General features: G+C 40.3%; 1 protein-coding gene across 1 annotated transcript in view; it reads right to left on the bottom strand.

Annotated features, from left to right (window-relative positions):
- Positions 1–18,120, bottom strand: part of XKR4 (XK related 4) — a 440,027-nt gene that overhangs the window by 184,997 nt on the left and 236,910 nt on the right. The gene's annotated exons all lie outside the window — the stretch shown is intronic.

Genomic DNA, 18,120 nt, shown 5'->3' with positions numbered 1-18,120 from the left:
TGATTGGAAGCCTTACTGATAACATAAACAGTCTATCAACACATATTTTCTATATGCATTATATACTGTATTCCTATAATAAAGAGAAAAGAAAATATTAAAATCATAAGGAAAAGAAAATTATTAACTATCTATTAAGTTGAAGTGGATCATAAATGCCTTCATCGTCATCATCTTTACATTGAATAGGCTGAGGAGGAAGAGGAGGGGTTGGTTTTGCTGTCTCAGGGTTGGTAGAGATGGAATAAAATTTGCCTGTAAGTAGACCTGCACAGTTCAAACTTGTATTGTTCAAGGGTCAACTGGAGTTATCAACATATTGCCAATCTTTTTTATTTGCACCTCCACTTACGTCCTGTCACCAAATTATTTTAAAGCAAACCCCGGGCATCACATTATTTCATCTATAAGTATTTTATTTAAAATAATTTTAAAACCAATATTGTGATCACATTTACAAATATAGTAATTTCTTAACAGTATCAAATACTCAATGTTCATATTTTCCTGATTATCACAATTTTTTAAGTTTGTTTGAAATGCAGTCCAAACAGGATCCACATAAGATGATTATTTGATATGTATCTTAAGTCTTTTTTACAACATGGATTATCCTTCCATGTCCTTTTAAATTTCTTGCATATTTTCTTTGTCTTGATTTTAATGATTGTATTTGCATGGTGTGGTTAACATATCTATCCTTTGTGTTTTCTGCAAATGGGTAATTAGTGTTAGAATTTTGATCAGCTTCAAGTTCGACTGCTTTTGGCAGGTGATATTGTGTACTTTCATCAGGAAGCACATCAGAATTAGTTGTTCTATTTTATGATCTTACCATATACTGATGATATTGCAATCAAGGTTGCAAAATGGTGATATTCAGAGTCCATCATCCTTCTTTACTTACTTGTTAGAATACTTCTCCAGCTCTCTTGCCAATGTCTCTACAGTATTTGGTTGTCTGGAGCTTGCTGTCTGGTAGATCCCTCAAGAAAGGTACATAGGGATAATATTTCCTGAGCTCTTGCATATTTATAACAGTATGTAGTTCTCAATCTTGCCTTGGGTGAGTATAGGTTCTTTTGGTTACACAGACCCAAAAGTTTCACAGTTTTAGTTGGAGATTGGTACCTACTTTTAGAGTCTGTGAATGAACTGCATTTACCTAGTGCAAAGATTCTCAGATGCCAAGAGCGAAGGATAGCAGAGATACAGCAAGGAAGTGCAGGTGCAGAAAATCCAGGCAAGCTTTTCACCGAAAGCTTAGGTTGGATGGATATAGAATTCATGCATATTCCATGCAAGGCCCAAGATCTGCCATTTATTTATTTGAGCCCTTTAAATCTGTCATTTCGTTGTTTACTAGCCTAGTGTTCTTATGGAAAAGTCTGATAGAAATCTGACATTCATTCTCTTATAAGCTACTTGATCTTTTTGCTTTGAAGTCCCAAGCATATTTTGTTTCTTTTTAGAGATCTATGGTTTTATTAGAATGTACCTTGATATCGGCTGTTCTGCATCCATTTTCTGAAGAATGTGATATGTATCTTCATTATATAGCTTCAGGTTTCCATGTGTAGTTTTAATTTTTCTTGAATGATAGCATTCAGTATTTTTTCTAATCCATTGCTTTGTCTTTCTTCTTGGATGCCTCCTCTTGATTATATATGCTATATCTGCTTTATTCTGTGTCTAACAGTTTCTTTTGAATCCTTCTAATCTCAAATTTCTTCTTGATTTTTCCTCCTCTCCGTCTTCTATTCATCTTCTCACTGTGGTGTGTGTATAGTGCCATATCCCTTCCAGTTGAGTTTTCATGTCTGTCCTGCTTTTTTTTTTAAATATAAAATTCTAGGCTGGGCATGGTGGCTCACACCTGTAATCCCAGCACTTTGGGAGGCTGAGGTGGGCGGACCACCTGAGGTCAGGAGTTCAAGACCAGCCTGACCAATATGATGAAACCCCCTCTCTACTAAAAATACAAAAATTAGCTGGGTGTGGTGGCACATGCCTGTAATCCCAGCTACTTGGGAGGCTGAGACGGGAGAATCACTTGAACCCAGGAGGCGGAGGTTGCAGTGAGCCGAGATCATGTCATTGCGCTCCATCCTGGGCAACAAGAATGAAACTCCATCTCAAAAAAAAAAAAAAAATTCTATACTGATGAGTCCTATCCATCATCCTTTGTGTCAAATATTACTTTTTTCTACTTATTTCTTTTATGAATTTTTCTAATTCTGATTTATATTGTTCTTCATAGCTTTTACAATTTTAAAATTTTCTTTCAGCTCATTTAGAGGTATTTGCTTATGATTTTTATCCATTTTGTGCATGTGTGTTTTTTTTTTGTTTCATTGTCTATAGAAACATCATTAGTTTTCTTACTTTCTTTTCATTGTAATAATTGATAATTTTCTTGTTGCTAAGTTTTAAAAGTTAATTTAGTTTCCTATACTTTTAGGAGGGATGAGTGGGCCAGGATAGCTGAGCTGGTTTTACAGCTCTAACACACTCTTCTGGTGTTCTCATGAAGTGGTAAACAGAATCACTTGTTACTTTCTGCTATCAGCTGCCTCTGCTCCTCCCCCCTTTTATTTGGACATTCTCTCTCATCTTTTGCGGTTGTCCCTGTCCTACTCAGTTTGGAATCTATTCCCAGCAGATTCTCCTCAGTATGGAGGCTTGTTTGGGAAAGGCCTTCAGTTTCTTAGTTAATGGGATTAAAGGACCCAGCCTGCTCCAGTAGCATCAGATTTGGTTGCACTGTGGCCTCCTTGGACTCACCCCTGCATTGGATCATTGAGAACACCCTCCCTCCATATCTCTCCTCCTACTCTGAGCTTGGTTCAGGGCACTTCTCAGGGAGTATCTGGTTCTCAAGGTCTTCCCTCTGCTTTCTCCTGCATGGTTTTGATATCACATTGGCTCTTACATGTTGTCACTAATTTGTCTCTAGGTAATTATGGGGGTATCTCAACACTGTTTTATCATCCACAATTCTTCAGTTTTATCAACCTAGTTGCTCTGCCTATTTTAATTCGATAATTTTGGTAGACTAAAGAATGATGTTGCCATTGTCACCATATTTGCAGAACATACCATTTTAAAACACAAAATGGCTTTAATCATTCCCTTGAACCTTTGGCTGCTCTGTATGAACTCTAAGGTGAAGCTTGCTATCGTGCACTTTACAGGGACTTTCATGGGCAGATCTCTTTCTCCCACCGCTGCACGGCTGCAGCTTGTGATGAGCTCAGTGCCAACTGCTGGTGTTTCCTTTCTTCTACCTCCATGGCTGTTCACATGCTTATGCTTGGAATAGCCCTGGAATAGCCTTTCCTGATTCTCTGACTGCCAGGCACATTTTTGAATAAATAGTCTCCATTCGATCATCACCAATCATCCTTGAATACTCCATGAATATGCAACCTGTTTGTATTAGTTTCCTAGAGCTGCTTTAACAGAGTGTGACAGACTGTGGTTTAAATCACAGAAATTTATTATCTCACGGTTCTGAAGACTGGAAGTCTGAAATCAGGGTGTCATCAGAGTTCATTCCTCCTGAAGTCTGTAAGGAAGCATCTGTTGCATGCCACCCTTCAGTAGTTTCTGGTGGTTTGCTGGCAATCTTTGGCATTCCTCAGCTTGTAGAGGCATCATCCCAATTTCTGTCTTCTTCACAGGGCATTCTCCCTGTGTGTGTGTCTGTTTCTGTGTCTAAATTTCTTCTTTATATAACTACACAGTCATACTGATTAGGAGTCACCCCAATGATCTCATCTTCACTTGATCATGACAAAGATCTTATTCTATTTCCAAAATAAGGTCACATTCACAGGTATGAGGTTAGGACTTCAGTATCTGTAAGGGAGGACACGATTCAACCCTAACACTTTTCTATCAGTGTTTGATCTTGTTCACTCCATGACTTCTCCTCCCCTGTTTAATGATTTCCAAGTCTGCATCTCAAACTCCAACCCTCACCTGAGATTCAAACCCATGTCCCCATCTACTTTCCAGATTTCCTGCAATCATATAAAAGCAAACATATTCAAAACACCTTGTTAGACTTCTTTCTAAATTTGTCCCATTTGCTATACTGGGGAGACACTTCCATCCATTAAGTTGTCCATCCATTAAGCTAAATCTAGGGGGCATTTTCGGCCTTTACTACTTACATCTGGTAACTATATTCTGGAGCTTTTATCTCTTTAATATATTTCTTTTCCTCTCCCTTTACTAAAGTCAGATTCTTTGGGTTTCTATTTTGGTTCTTTAATCTACTAATGGTATGACTTTGGGCTTAAAATCTCTCTGCCTTAATATGTCCATCTTTAAAGGGGGAAAATCACAGTACCAATCACATAGGTTGACCTGAGAATTAAATGTAATAAAAGTGAAGGACTCAGCACAGAGCTTGGTATTAATAGATAGTAAGCATTCAGTAAATGCTAGTTCTTACTATTTATTGATTGACTTTGAAAACGCTAATGGATTCTTCCCATTGCTTCTAGTGTGACCTGTCTGTGACATACATTGAATCCAATTTCCATCACCCAAACCTCAATGACTCCCCACTGCCTAGAAGACAAAACAGTAAAGTCAATCAATGCAAATGAAGGCATTTAAGTTTAAAACTTTTAGTTTTAACCTTTCTTCCTAACCTTTGGCCTCTATGCCCTATCCCATATTCTATGTTCCCACACTCATTGAAACACTCCCTGCTCCTTGGAGATGAATCCACACCTCGTGCCTTTGCTCATGTGGTTCTCCTGCCCTGGAATGCCTCTACACATTCCTTATCACGCTGGAATCTCTACTATTTTATAATACTCAAGAATTCCCTCTCCCTTGGCCTCTCTCCCCACCCGGGTAAAACTGGCCATTCCATTGTTTGAGCCCAAATTATCTTTACTCAGACTTTAACTAGGGAAAAATAACATTATTTTTGTATGTATTCATCTGTGAGTTCATCTCATATTCTAGAATATAAACTCCCAGAGAGGAAAGAATGTCATTTGTCTTTGTACCCCTATAAAGAAACATCTGGCTCAGTTTCTGATGATTAATAAGCACTCAATTAACATGCATCCTTTTATGGATTCAATGAGTATGTATTGAACACATGCAATATTTGCAATTTTATGTTTTTGTCCAAGGGAAACAGGAAGTCACTGGAGAGATTTGAATGGAAAAGTAGGGAATCTGACTTGCATTTTAACAAAGTTGGTTATTGTATGGAAAATAAAGGATAGTAGGGCCAGGAGAAAAGTAGGGGCATTGGCCGGAAGACTAGTGCAATAATCCAGGTGAGAAAAGATGCTGGCTTTGATCAGGGGGGCCAGTGATGTTGGCTGTGTGAAGATGTAAGAGTTGGCTATCTTGTGAAGAAAGCACAGACAGTGTTTGCAGGGAGTGAACAAATTAATGAATAAATGCTCCACTTCCTTGCAATTCTAACAGAAGGTTTAAATTCAGGACCTCCATGGTCAGTAGAACTCCCACAAATGCCTCCCTGAGCTACTTTCTTTCCAGTTTTTTTCTGGGAGAAGGCTATGTATACTCCCAGCTGTTTGTTTCTATAGGCTAAAAAGCTACAAACATGCTCCCCAGGGACTTGAACTCTTCTGGTACAATGAGACGTTTGTTTTTATAGCACCTTGAGCTCACAGTTAATCTGATCCTGGTGACAGGTTTCTTCCAATAGAATAAAACAACCAGTATTAGGTTTCACAGAGTTTCACATAATAAGACACAAAATCAAACCTTCTAATACTGCACATACAGAGTTCAAACATCTATAAACCAAGGATGACAAAAAAAAATAAAAGCTATTTTCAGGTCCTGAATGGGGAGTTTTTTTGTTTTAATTTTGGTAAACTATATATAACATAAAATTTACCGTCCTAATTATTTTAAGTGTGCAGTTCAGGAGTGTGAAGTGCCATCACATTGCTGTGCAAACATCACCACCACCCATCTTCAGAAGTCCGTTCACCTTAGAAAATGGAAACACTGGCTGGGCATGGTGGCTCATGCCTGTAATCCCAGCACTTTGGGAGGCCAAGGTGGGTGGATCACTTGAGGTCAGGAGTTCGAGACCAGCCTTGCCAACATGGTGAAACCCCATCTCTACCAAAAACATAAAAAATTAGCCAGGTGTGGTGGCGCACGCATGTAATCCCAGCTACTCAGGAGGCTGAGGCAGGAGAATCACTTGAACCTGGGAGGCAGAGGTTGCAGTGAACCGAGATCGTGCCACTGCACTCCAGCCAGGGTGACAGAGCAAGACTCTGTCTCAAAAAAAAAAAAAAAAAAAGAAAAGAAAAAGAAAAGAAAACATAATCTCTATATCCACTAAACAATTCTCCATTCCCCTCCTTCCCCAGCCCCTGGCAACTACCATTCTACTTTCTCTCTTCTCTGGATTTAACTCTGGATGAATCTCTGGATTTAACTACTCTGGATATCTTCTCTGGATATAAGTGGAATCATACAGTATTGGTCTTTTTGTGACTGGCTTATTTAATTTAGCATAATGTCCTCAAGGTTCATCTGTGCTATATAGCTCGTATCAAACTTTACTTTTAGATGGGGAGTTTTAAAATGCCTGAATTTTTGATGGAGGAAAGACCTCCATACAACATAGCAACTCCTTGATGGGTCCAGCTTACAAAGAATGACACAGGAAAATATTCTAGATTAAGGTTCCATCTACCAGCCTGGAAGTCCTGCCCTTAGGAAGTAGGGGCGGGTGGGTCATGTGAAGTGCCAGGCTGGTGTCCTGCACATGCTCTTGCTCTTTGAAAATAACTATAGGCAAAGAGCACGCACAAATTCACTCAGGATTAGCTATGAGGATATACAGCATTGTGTTATTTATAGTACAAAAAATGGTTAAAACCCAAATGCCCAATGATAAGGTATTAAACAAATTATAACACATCCATTCATTGTATATTGTTAAGGCAAAAGGCAGGTTAAAATAGTATAGCCAATGTATCCCATTAATAATTTTAAGTGTGTGTGTGTATGTGTGTGTGTGTACACACAGAATAAAATTTAGGACATTTAACACCAAAATATTAAAGTGATGATCTCTCAGTGGTGGGATCATGTGTCATTGTTATTTTTGAAATTCATAAACAATGCTGTAATAAACTTTCATGTAGCTAAAGTGCTGAAATAGCTTTCATATTTTTTAAGCTTTTGATATATATTGTAAAATTGTTCTCTAGAAAGACTGTACTAATTGGTAGTGATAAGTGTCCTTATTTTCTTAAACCCTTATGTATTATCATTAAAATTGCCAATTATATGGGTGGACAAAATGCATGTTCGATTAGTGACTTTTATTCTTATTAAGGTTTAACATTCGTTGGTGTGTATTAGCCTCTTGTATTTATTATTCTGTGATTTGCCTGAACGTCATTTTCAATTTTAATGTGTTTATTTTTCAGGCGCTGATCCTCAAATTTGGCTTATTTAACACGGACCGTGGTAACAAAATCACTGACAAATTCCTACCACATATTTTATACTATAATATTCTAGCTTGGAATCAGAGGATGCAGAAGCTGGAGGGATGTAGGGATCAGATGTCCAAGGTGATATGGCTGAGAGATGGAAGCTGGGCCAAGGTCCCCGATATCCCAATACCAGGTTCCATGATCATACATTACATCTGTCCAGCTTGCATTATTCTGGAATTCACCATAGCAAAAACGCTCAGATGGTATTTACTGCATTTCCCAGTCTTCTACGTACTTTTTTGCTGAGAGACAATAGGTGCAGAGGTTAAGGACTTCAGTTCTGAACAATCATGGCTCTGTCAGTTCCAGAACTCTGGGGAATTACTTTCTAATTTCTAAACTTTAGGTTTCCATCCTGTTAAAAAATGACTAATTAAAAATAAGATGAGATGATGTACATAAATTACCTAGTAAGCAATAAGTAAATATTAGATGTCAGTAAAAATAAGTTGATTTTTTTCAGGAGTAAAATCAAAGTAGCAATGATACCTTAATCTTTGGATTTTCCTTTCAGCTACCTGGGCTCCAAGACATCTTGAGACTCTGATTTGTGTGGGTCAGCTTGTATCAGAGAACTCAAAGTCTGTGGAAACCACTCTCTCTTTCATCTCTTTCTCTCTGTCTATCTGTATTTATCTAGTTCTATATGTCTATCTGTATCCATCTCTATCTCTCTATCTGTATATCTGTCTATATCTCTATGTAAACATCTCTATCTACTTGTCTGTCTGTCTCTGTTACTCTATCTAGATCTCTACCTATTTCTGTATCTTTCTGTCTCTTTTATCTATCATCTCTCTCTCTGTGTGTGTGTGTGTGTGTGTGTGTGTGTGTATGTTTGTCTGTCTCTCTCTCCCTCTATCATCTACCTATCCATTATCTCTATTCATCCAGTCTATCCAGGTCCTTCCTGGATTGTATTGTAACCTCATGTCCTATATTGTAACCCCATGTCCACTTCTGACACTGGGGAGAGGAGGATGGCTGACAGCCAGTCCCTGGAAAATGACCCTTTGCACACTTGAAGAGAAAAGCCAAGCAGTCTTGTCTCCTTGGAAACTGTGCTGATTGTATCTAGAAAATATTATTTCCTTCTGGTTCTCATAGACGATATCCTGTGAGCCAGAATTACCCCTTGAGAAGGCAGGGATGGCTGTCCCTCCCTCACAGGCTGTGTGGGGATTAGATGGGAGGATGTGCCTGGCACACACATGCCTCACTCATGACAAGCACGCTGCCATGAACAGTGGCTCTTGATGTTCTGGATTCCTCTAGATTGCTGGTCTTTTCCCCCCTCATAACTGAGGTGATTTAACGTCTTCGGTCCTTGTCATTTTCTCTAGGCATGTTATCCGGCATGGTGTTTTGTCACATTGGGTTAGATCAGTCTGTTAATCAGTATCTGGGCTTCGACTGACCTTCCAGAGGAGAAGACGAAGATGTCACCATCCTACTGAGAAACAAGCTGATTTCTGGGCTTCCTGAAATCCAGGGAATCCAGGCTGGGGGCTAGGTAGGGTGGAGGTTGGGGCTCACTAAGGTTTTCCTTTTGAGGATTCTGCATGGTTGTAAGAAAATATCTCTAAAGAGGTTGGTCAGGGAAGTTCACAGTAATGAAAAGCTTCAGTTCCACTTAGATATTTATACAGATGGCAGAGAGAAGTCACAGAAAGCCATATACACAGCTAAAAATTTAGCATAACTACCACAGAGTATCATTAAAGGCAGAAAAAAGTTTCAAGGCCTTGCCATCAAGGATGAAATATGCCATGAGCATGAGAGAACAGTGGATTAAATACCCAGCTCTCATTAGTGCTAATGGGAGATGTTCCCGATAAAAGCCCTCTCTGAAATGTCAATGTGTTCTGCCTCCTCTTCAGAGGTAAACACATTTTACAAGACACTTGCTTTCCTTACCATATGACTGATTCATTTTCTCATATGGTCAGTCTTATTATTTATTGCCCTGGGAAGCATGCTAAGGGAAGATATAGTTTTGTTTACATCACAAAGGTCACCAAGAATTCTGCACTGACTTTATCCACATAATCTCAATCCAACAACATCTTGACTTTGTGATTTCCTTAGCATTTTTGAAGATGTGCATGAAAACACACATGCATAACTCCCCACTACACCATGCACACGGACACCTATATGTAACCCATCCCCTCCACAACACAGGCACAAAATCAAGTCCAGTGAGATTCTGAACATGTAAATTGCATTTAAATTCTCAGCTCCTTTTCATCAGTATTTTCCAAGTGCTAAACAGCACCATGGACTCAAACCACAGCCTCCTATGTCACTAAGTTCAGACTGAAACATAATATGGCCTAAGTGACAAGCTTGGCAGGGAAATCTCAAACATCTGGTATGTCAAAGATCACATAGCTAGTACATATTTAATCTAAAATTGAAATAATTGACATAATCCTTACATTACTTGTGGGGAAATGGGATGTATGTGAGTCATGTTTCAGACAGTTCATATGTAAGATAAATATTTCAATCCCTAAATAAGATTTGACCGAGTGTTACATTAACTGCTGATATATCCATAGCTGAATAAGAAATCATTAATACCTATGATGATACTATGCAAATATATTCTAATATTGAATTTTATTTTGCTATCTTTTGTACATTAAACAGTTTGGCTGTTATCAGTTGTTATTTTTACTGTCTGAAAAATACAGAGTGAAATCTGTGCAGAAGATCTTTAAATAAACAACATTACTAAACAGTGATTCCAGCAAGTGATATTTTCTTCTGTTGCCTGGCTACAAAGCTTTCTAAACACACACACACACACACACACACACACACACACACACACATAACCTCAACAGGTTTCTGTTTTTGTTACTCTTAAGAAAATTGTATGACTTGTCATCCTAAGATGGGTAAGCTAAGCAACAAGGACACTCACAACACCACCTTGTTTTAGTACCAGGATATTAGGCTTCTGCCTTCTCCATTCTGTGGTGAATAATAGTAACAATAACTTAAAATTCTGGCCTACATTCTATGGTAGAACATTTTCCTAGTGGCTCTTGTTTCAAGATTAGACTTTATTTCCCACTAATCATCCAAAGGAAGAAAAAACTATGTGAATTGAGGGAGAAAGAATGAAGCGGGGCTGAGTGTGGTGGCTCACGCCTCTAATCCCAGCAATTTGGGAGGCCATGGCAGGTGGATCACTTGAGGTCAGGAGTTTGAGAATATCCTGGCCAACATGGTGAAGCCAGTCTCTACTAAAAATATAAAAAATTAGCCGAGTGTGGTAGTGCATGCCTGTAATCCCTGCTACTCGGAAGGCTGAGGCAGGAGAATCACTTGAACCCAGGAGGTGGAGGTTGCAGTGAGCCAAGATTGTGCCACTGCACTCCAGCCTAGGTGACAGAGCAAGACTCTGTCTCAAAAAAGAAAAAAAAAAAAAAAGAAAAAGAAAATGTAAATTCTATACTCACTAAACAACGATTCTCCATTCCTCCTCTTTCCCCAGCCCCTGACAAACACCATTCTACTTTGTCTTCTCGGGATTTGACTACTCTAGATATCTTCTCTGGATATAAGTGAAATGATGCAGTATTTGTCTCAAAAAAAAAGTGAATGAATTGGATAACCTTCTATTTGACACAGGCATTAGGGGTCATGGTCATAGGGGACAGTTGGGGCTGTCTTCCACCCTGAGAGTACCAGAGCAGGCTGTGACCCACACTCCACTCTTCATTGTCATTGTCTCAGTGCCCCAAGCACACCACCTCTCACCAGAGGCACCAAACTTCTCCCAAAGCAATGAGTGTGCATGTAATGTCCCGCTCATGCTGATGTTACGAACATTCACAGCAGGAAAAGAGAGATGGGGAATATGCACAGGGCCTTCCAAGAAATCCTTGAACCTGACCACTTTTTCCTTTTTAAGCACACTTTAATTTTTCTTCCCAAGGGCAACACTGACTCTCAGACTAATGAGGCTTTAGGTTTCTCTGCATACACTTGACCCATGAGCTGCACTTTGATTGCCTCCATCTCCTTCCTAGATAGAAATAAGGAGAATTAATTTTGGCCCTCAAAGAAGATCATATTTCAGTGGCTACACATCATGGCGTATGGCATTGTAAGCTTACACAAAGTACAGTCATACTTATTCAGCATCTTGTATTTCATAAAGGCTTATTTTTATTTATTTCCTTTTTATTCTTTTATTCTTTTTTTTTTCTTTTTTTGAGATGGAGTCTCACTCTGTCACCCAGGCTGGAGTGCAGTGGCATGGTCTTGGCTCACTGCAACCTCTGCCTCCCGAGTTCAAGTGATTCTCCTGCCTCAGCCTCCCAAGTAGTGGGGATTACACCAAGTAGGTGTGGTGTGCACCACCACACCCAGCTAACTTTTGTATTTTTAGTAGAGACAGGGTTTCACCATGTTGGCGAGGCTTGTCTTGAACTCCTGACCTCAAGTGATCCACCTGCCATGGCCTCCCAAATTGCTGTGATCTGCCCACCTTGGCCTCCCAAAGTGCTGGGATTATAGGCATAAGCCACTGCACCTGGTCTCCTTTTTATTATTATGTGAAAACAAGATTTATCTATGGGATATGTTTTGCTTAAATTTTATACATATCTCTCATGAAGATATTTTTTACATGAGTAGTTACTCTTCAGGCATTTCCTTAGACCTAGAGGAGGAAGTAATAGAAGTTTTTTCTCTATTAAATAATTTCTCCTGTAGTAGGCACTATGGCCAGGGCCTCTTGGGCAACTTGGTGAGTCCGGCTGAAATAGGAGAGGAAGTTGCTGAACTTGGAAGGAAGGTTCTCTATGCACTCGCATCGCCTCATAGCAACTGTACCTAACAAAAGCAGCATTTCTCCCCAAATTATTCTTCTGTAGAGCTCCTACATGCAAATATTTTAACAGTAAAATGTGTATTCAAATGGAGAAGAGTGGCTTGAAGTAAATAGAGCAGTGGTTACTATTTGACATAATATTGACATGGTGACTGTGATCCAAGTCTTCAAATGATTAAGAGGCTACTGGCAGAAATTATTAGCCACATTAAAAAAAAAAAAAACAGACAGGGTTAACAGAATATTTGTTCTCACAACTCAGGAAGCAGTGATCGTGATAGAATCAGAACCTTTGTCCTAAGCCCTGTTCAAGTGATTTTATGATAAATAAGGAAAGCACCGAGTGTCTGTGTGCATGTGTTTGTGCAGTGGTTCATTCTTTTTAAAGTCACAGCACTACCTTATAGCATTTTACTGCTTCACTTTAGCAGATTTATGGATGTTTATAGTTTTAAAAGATAACTGAAAAATCCATAGGCCTAGGGTGCCTGACCCGTCACATCCATTGGGCAGCCAAGTATGGAGGGGAGAGAGAGAGTGGGGGTATAACAACTTGGGGTGTTGTGTGTTTCTGGTGGCCCTGAGGTCCTGTCTGAAGTGTCCAGAAGCAGTGCACATCACAGGGATTGATTTCACCAGCAAAGTGCCAACTTCCAAGAGCTTCGATGCTTACAGCATCTACAGCCACACAACCTTCACCTGCCACACCCCATCTCATCTGAACGCTTTCAGAGGTTTAGGTCCAAATGCAATCATTTTGTGTTCTTTTTAAGGCAGTGTGTTATTGTGCACATTATTGTCTCATTATAATTGTATTATTTATTCATTCATTCATCCATTCTAGGGGAAGAAGAAATTCAAGCTGTGTCTCTCCAGAATCTTGTCAGAATTAGAAAACATAAAATACAGTGTTGTGCAAAGATGGAGAATAAAAGAACCCAAGGTCTGGCTAGATTGAGTCTGAAATACTTTAGTGGTTGTGAATAGGAGGACTTTCTTGAAAGCAGCAATGCCCCTTCTCTGCATGAGCCCAGTCTGCAGGGGCCATTAACTGTGCCCTCTGCAGCAAGATTCTGGGAGGAGAGCAGACAATGTTTGTCTGCTCCCAGCGTACATTGGCAGGTTTGGTCTACAGTTTATCACTGTTTCATGTGGGCAGCTAATTTCTGAGAGTGGAATGCCGAAAGGCTTCATGGGCCAACATTTCAGAGGCTGTGAGACCAATTCAATAGGAGGAAAGCATCTGAGCTCCCTGTGCCAACAGCCTGCCCATGCCTGTGGTGGGAATGTTTCTGGAAATGGCTTCCGTGGAATATAGCACAGAGCAGCTCATGAAGATGAGTCCAGGAAAGGGCGAAAAGCTTTCACCATCATAAGAACCATAATTTTTCTTATCTTATTGGTTCAGCAATATTTGCTCTCAACTGTTTTTAGCACCCCAGGGAAAATCATCATACCACAACTGGGTGTAAGAATTTGGTAAATGGGCTGTTGAAAACAATGTGCTAACCATGGCAGGAGTTGGATGATCCTCCATACAAAGCATCTAGCAGCATGCAGAGCCCTTCTCGAGAAAAGTTTCTGAGATCACTTTCCAAGCTAGGTACTATAAAGAATTTTACCTAGGCATTGTGCCTACAGACAAAAGTTCAGTGTTTCCAAAAGGAAAGTCTCCTTTGACTAAAACAATTGATTCATTCTACTCTTTCATTCAACAAGTATTTGTTGAGCACCTACTTGGAGATCAACACTCCTCTCGAGGGAATACAGCAGCAAATGAAATAGGGACTTACATTTTAGATGGGGAAGATAAGCAATAAACAAGTACAAGATAAAATATACAAGTTTATGCTAAGTGCCAATAATGAAGTAAGACAGGAAGGAAAGTAAGGAGTTTCACGGGGCTTGCAAGTTCAGATGTGTGGCAGGGAAATATACTAGAGAGGTGAAACCTGGGTCAAAGTCCAAAGGAGGAAGAGGAAGCAAGCCCTCTTCGTTTAAAATCTGGAAGAACATTCCAGGCAGAATGAACAGGAGGCGTTGAGGTGGCAGTGTGTGTGGTCCATTCCAGGAGCATCAGGGAGATGAGTGGTGGAGCAGATCGGTGGGGGGCAGTGGGAGATCAGAGCAGAGAGGCAGTGGGACGGTCTGATCACATAGGGCATGGTGGGCACTGTGTGGACTGTGCGAGTGAGATGGGAAGCAATTAGAGGGCTTAAAAAGGGGAGGAGCACAGTGAGGCCAACATCTCATGAGGACTTCCAGCAGCTGTGCTGAGAATGGCATGAAGGGGAGCGAGTGTAGAGTCAGAGGCAGGCTGTTGCAATAACCTGGCAAGTGATGATGGTTGTTAGGACCTGCACAATAGCAGTGAGGAACTGGGTAGATTCTGGGTATTTATTTTGAAGTTAAAGCCAGTGGGATTTGTGACCATGTTACACGTTATTTGTAATACTCATGGAAGACATGGGGTGTGAGAGAAAGAGGAGGCAATGCTGACTCCAAGATGTTTGCCCTGAGCTCCTGGAAAGATAGAGTTGCCATTTACAGAGATGGGGCAACTTAGATGCGAGATCCACAGATCATGATGAGCTTTGGACAGTTTAAGTTTGACATGCTTTTTAAATATTCAAGCAGAGATCTTGAGTAGACAGTTGGATGCATGCATTGGAATTCAGGTCCAGTCTAAGGGATTATTTGGGAGATGTTAGGGTATTTAAAGCCATAAGACAAGATGAGACTGCCCTCACTTACAGTGCCAGCCTTAATGTCTTCCTGTGCATCCTTACTATGAGTGGGTTCAGTGCCCACCGAGAGGGTTTTACTTCAAAAGGCACCATGCTTAAATACATCAGGCGGCCCCAGGGGCCAAGGATCCAGCTTCTCTCAGGGAGGTGTGAATGTTCAGGAGGTCTCTTCCTTCCCAAGGCCAAGAGTTTGAAAGCCGGCCTGTTGTCCACCTATGGGGTTAGGAGGAAATTAAATGGCATCGGTTTGAAATTAACTTGAAGATAAGGTTTCCATGATGTCTAAACCTACATGCTCTTTGGTCATCTTTTTTTGGTGGGTGTGCTGGTGGAAATGACACAGATGTCTTCAGAAAGTTCTTCATTGCAGAGTAGTCAGAAATATCCTTACTGGAAAGGGACAGAAGGAAACACAGAGAATCCAGGGCGCCTTCCTGGCACAGGTACCCTGAGACATGTCTCTGCCTGTGGTCCTGTAGCACTCACACTCTGGTACATCCTGAGGGTTTTGTTGTAGACCTCATGCAGGGCAGCCTAAAAGGACTGGAGAGCCAATGCCCTGGGAGCAGCCCTCTGCCAATGAAAAGTGGGAATGGGAGCATCAATACCCCTGCTGCCCACCTGCCAGGTAATGTAATTCTGAAGGGTTCTGACCACTGCCTCACAGAGGAGTCCCAGTGGGCTTGGGTCCCAGCTGCCCACAAAGGTGACCTGCTTATGAACACACTAGTTTCTCTGTGTGTTCCCCTTCCCTATTCTCTGACTAGTACTTCCTGGGACCACCTTTAAATAAACCTCTTGCACTCAAATCCTGATCTCAGTTGTATCACAGGTTCCCCGCAGCACCCCCAATGATGTGCTTCTTTCTCTAGACATAAATCCTCCAAAAGTACCATTGGTATTACATGAGTTCCATGCTCAAACACCCCAGAATGGTTCCTAATTTTCCCACTGTGTCTTGATTCTTCTTTTGAGTTCTTCAGGTTGTCGATTATCAGGTCCAGCTTCACAGGTTATCTCTGCGCGGTGACACATGTGTGACCCATGCAGGCTGCTCTCCCTGGTCCTTCATGTCCCTACTGCTTCCTCCCTTGGTAGAGACTACCCCTTATACAAAAGGCATGACCAAATCCAAGAACCATTCCTTCAGGTTTAGCTCAAGCTTTCCCTAACTGCTCTTCCTACCACAGTGACTCTTGTCCCCTGAGATTCTACTGAACTCACTCGGAATGAAAAGTCTTGATGCCGAGGAGTGATCCCTAATTCATGAATGAGAAATAGATTTTGTTGTGCATCCTAACTGTGACCCACTGGAGGTGACTGCGCTGGGAAGGATCCTGAGCTGGCCTTTGGGATCACTGGTGTCAGTTAGTGACATCTGCTCTTTGGTGAGCAGAAGCCAGTGCAACAGGTATTTGCTCAAATTACTTCATATGCTATTTAGTCTTAACTGTCTCACTTGATTACAAGCTCCTTAGGCTGGTGATTCTGTTGTACATAGTTTATCTCTCCTTTGTGCCTATCCAACTCATCATTCTAAATGTAAATTCATTAATTGAAACTTAAAGTTGAATTATGAGGTTCTAACATACACACACATGCACATATGCACAATGTGTCAAGAACCAATGCCACCACCAAACACCACACAACCTCAGCTAAAAATGCATCTCTGTTGGCTGTGAGCTTACAGTTAACTATGTATGCATTCAAATATAAAGGACTTTAAACCATTTCTTTTGTTCTTGTCTTTGAGCATTGTGCTATACAGACCTTCCTTTTGTGCCATATCATATTTTACTATCAACCAGTGCCTCCTAGCCAATTGTTTTTAATCACAAAATAAATCAATACAGAATGGGCATGTACACGTATTCTTTTAGGATATAATTTGAACCATTCTGTTCATTTATGAACTGAAGTTATATGTCATGCTTTGGATTCAATTTAGCAACACCAGTGGACAATAAGACTTGATTTTCTTTTTCAGGTCATAGAGGAAAATCCAACCGATTTCATGCTTTATTTAGGGAATAGCATTTTTGTTGTTGTTTTTTTTGGAAAAAACATAATAGTAAAAATCTAACACATTCCTATATTCTTTTTCTGAACTTCCAGTGTGGTTTGTGGAAATGTGATTCATGATGACATATTAAATATTAAAACTAAAGTAAGATTAATTGAAATTTATAGGGCAGTTTTTTCTAATTTACTGTCTAGCACACAATTTTTAGCATGCTGCACAGATAACGAAGGACTGCCTACGTCCTCCTGTTTTATGAAAGCCTAGTATTAAATTTAAACTTGCTAACATTAAAGAAAAAGAAGGTGCCATGTCACCCAGATTCAAACTTCCCACTTGGCTATGAATGGTGACTGAGGGGCAGTCGAAGGAATGCATCAAAGTGAGGCATGACTGTGTATGTGGGCAGCTGTAAGGTTTGCTTCTGCCAGTCAGCTTTCCGGAATGAACACGCATGATCAGGCAAAGGAAATTAACAGTGTTTCTGCCTAAAATATGTGCTTAATTGGTAAAATGCTTTATATATGTTTTCTTAGCCTTCTCGGAAGCCTTATGAAAGTGGTGCTACTTACTCTTTTTGACCCATGAGGAGTCTTCACTGTAGGGGGGTTAGATCACGTGTAAAGTTTCCACAGCTAATGAGAAGTGGAGCTGAGCATAGATGCCATTTGTGTTGGCCTCCAAAGTTCATGCCCTTCAGACACAGCCAGCCCCATGGCCACAGCATCCTATGTTATCAAACAGCCTCGCGTTTCCAGTCCAGGAAAATTTGTCAGTTACTCATGCCTAAATTGCCTTCTGTTCTTCTATTAAAATTTTATTTGAGTCAGAACTATCTAGTTCCCTCAATATGCAGTTGAACTTGATATACTATTTCATTCTGAACAGCCTTTATAGTTCTGGTTTCTAGAAGGAATCCTGCTGTGAGTCCTAACACCAAACTATCTACTGGTCAACAGCTGCATT

Source organism: Homo sapiens, chromosome 8 (genome assembly GCF_000001405.40).
Source record: "Homo sapiens chromosome 8, GRCh38.p14 Primary Assembly".
Taxonomy (NCBI): Eukaryota; Metazoa; Chordata; class Mammalia; order Primates; family Hominidae; genus Homo; species Homo sapiens.
Note: the sequence above shows the minus strand (reverse complement) of the source record. Positions and strands in the feature narration are given on the sequence as shown.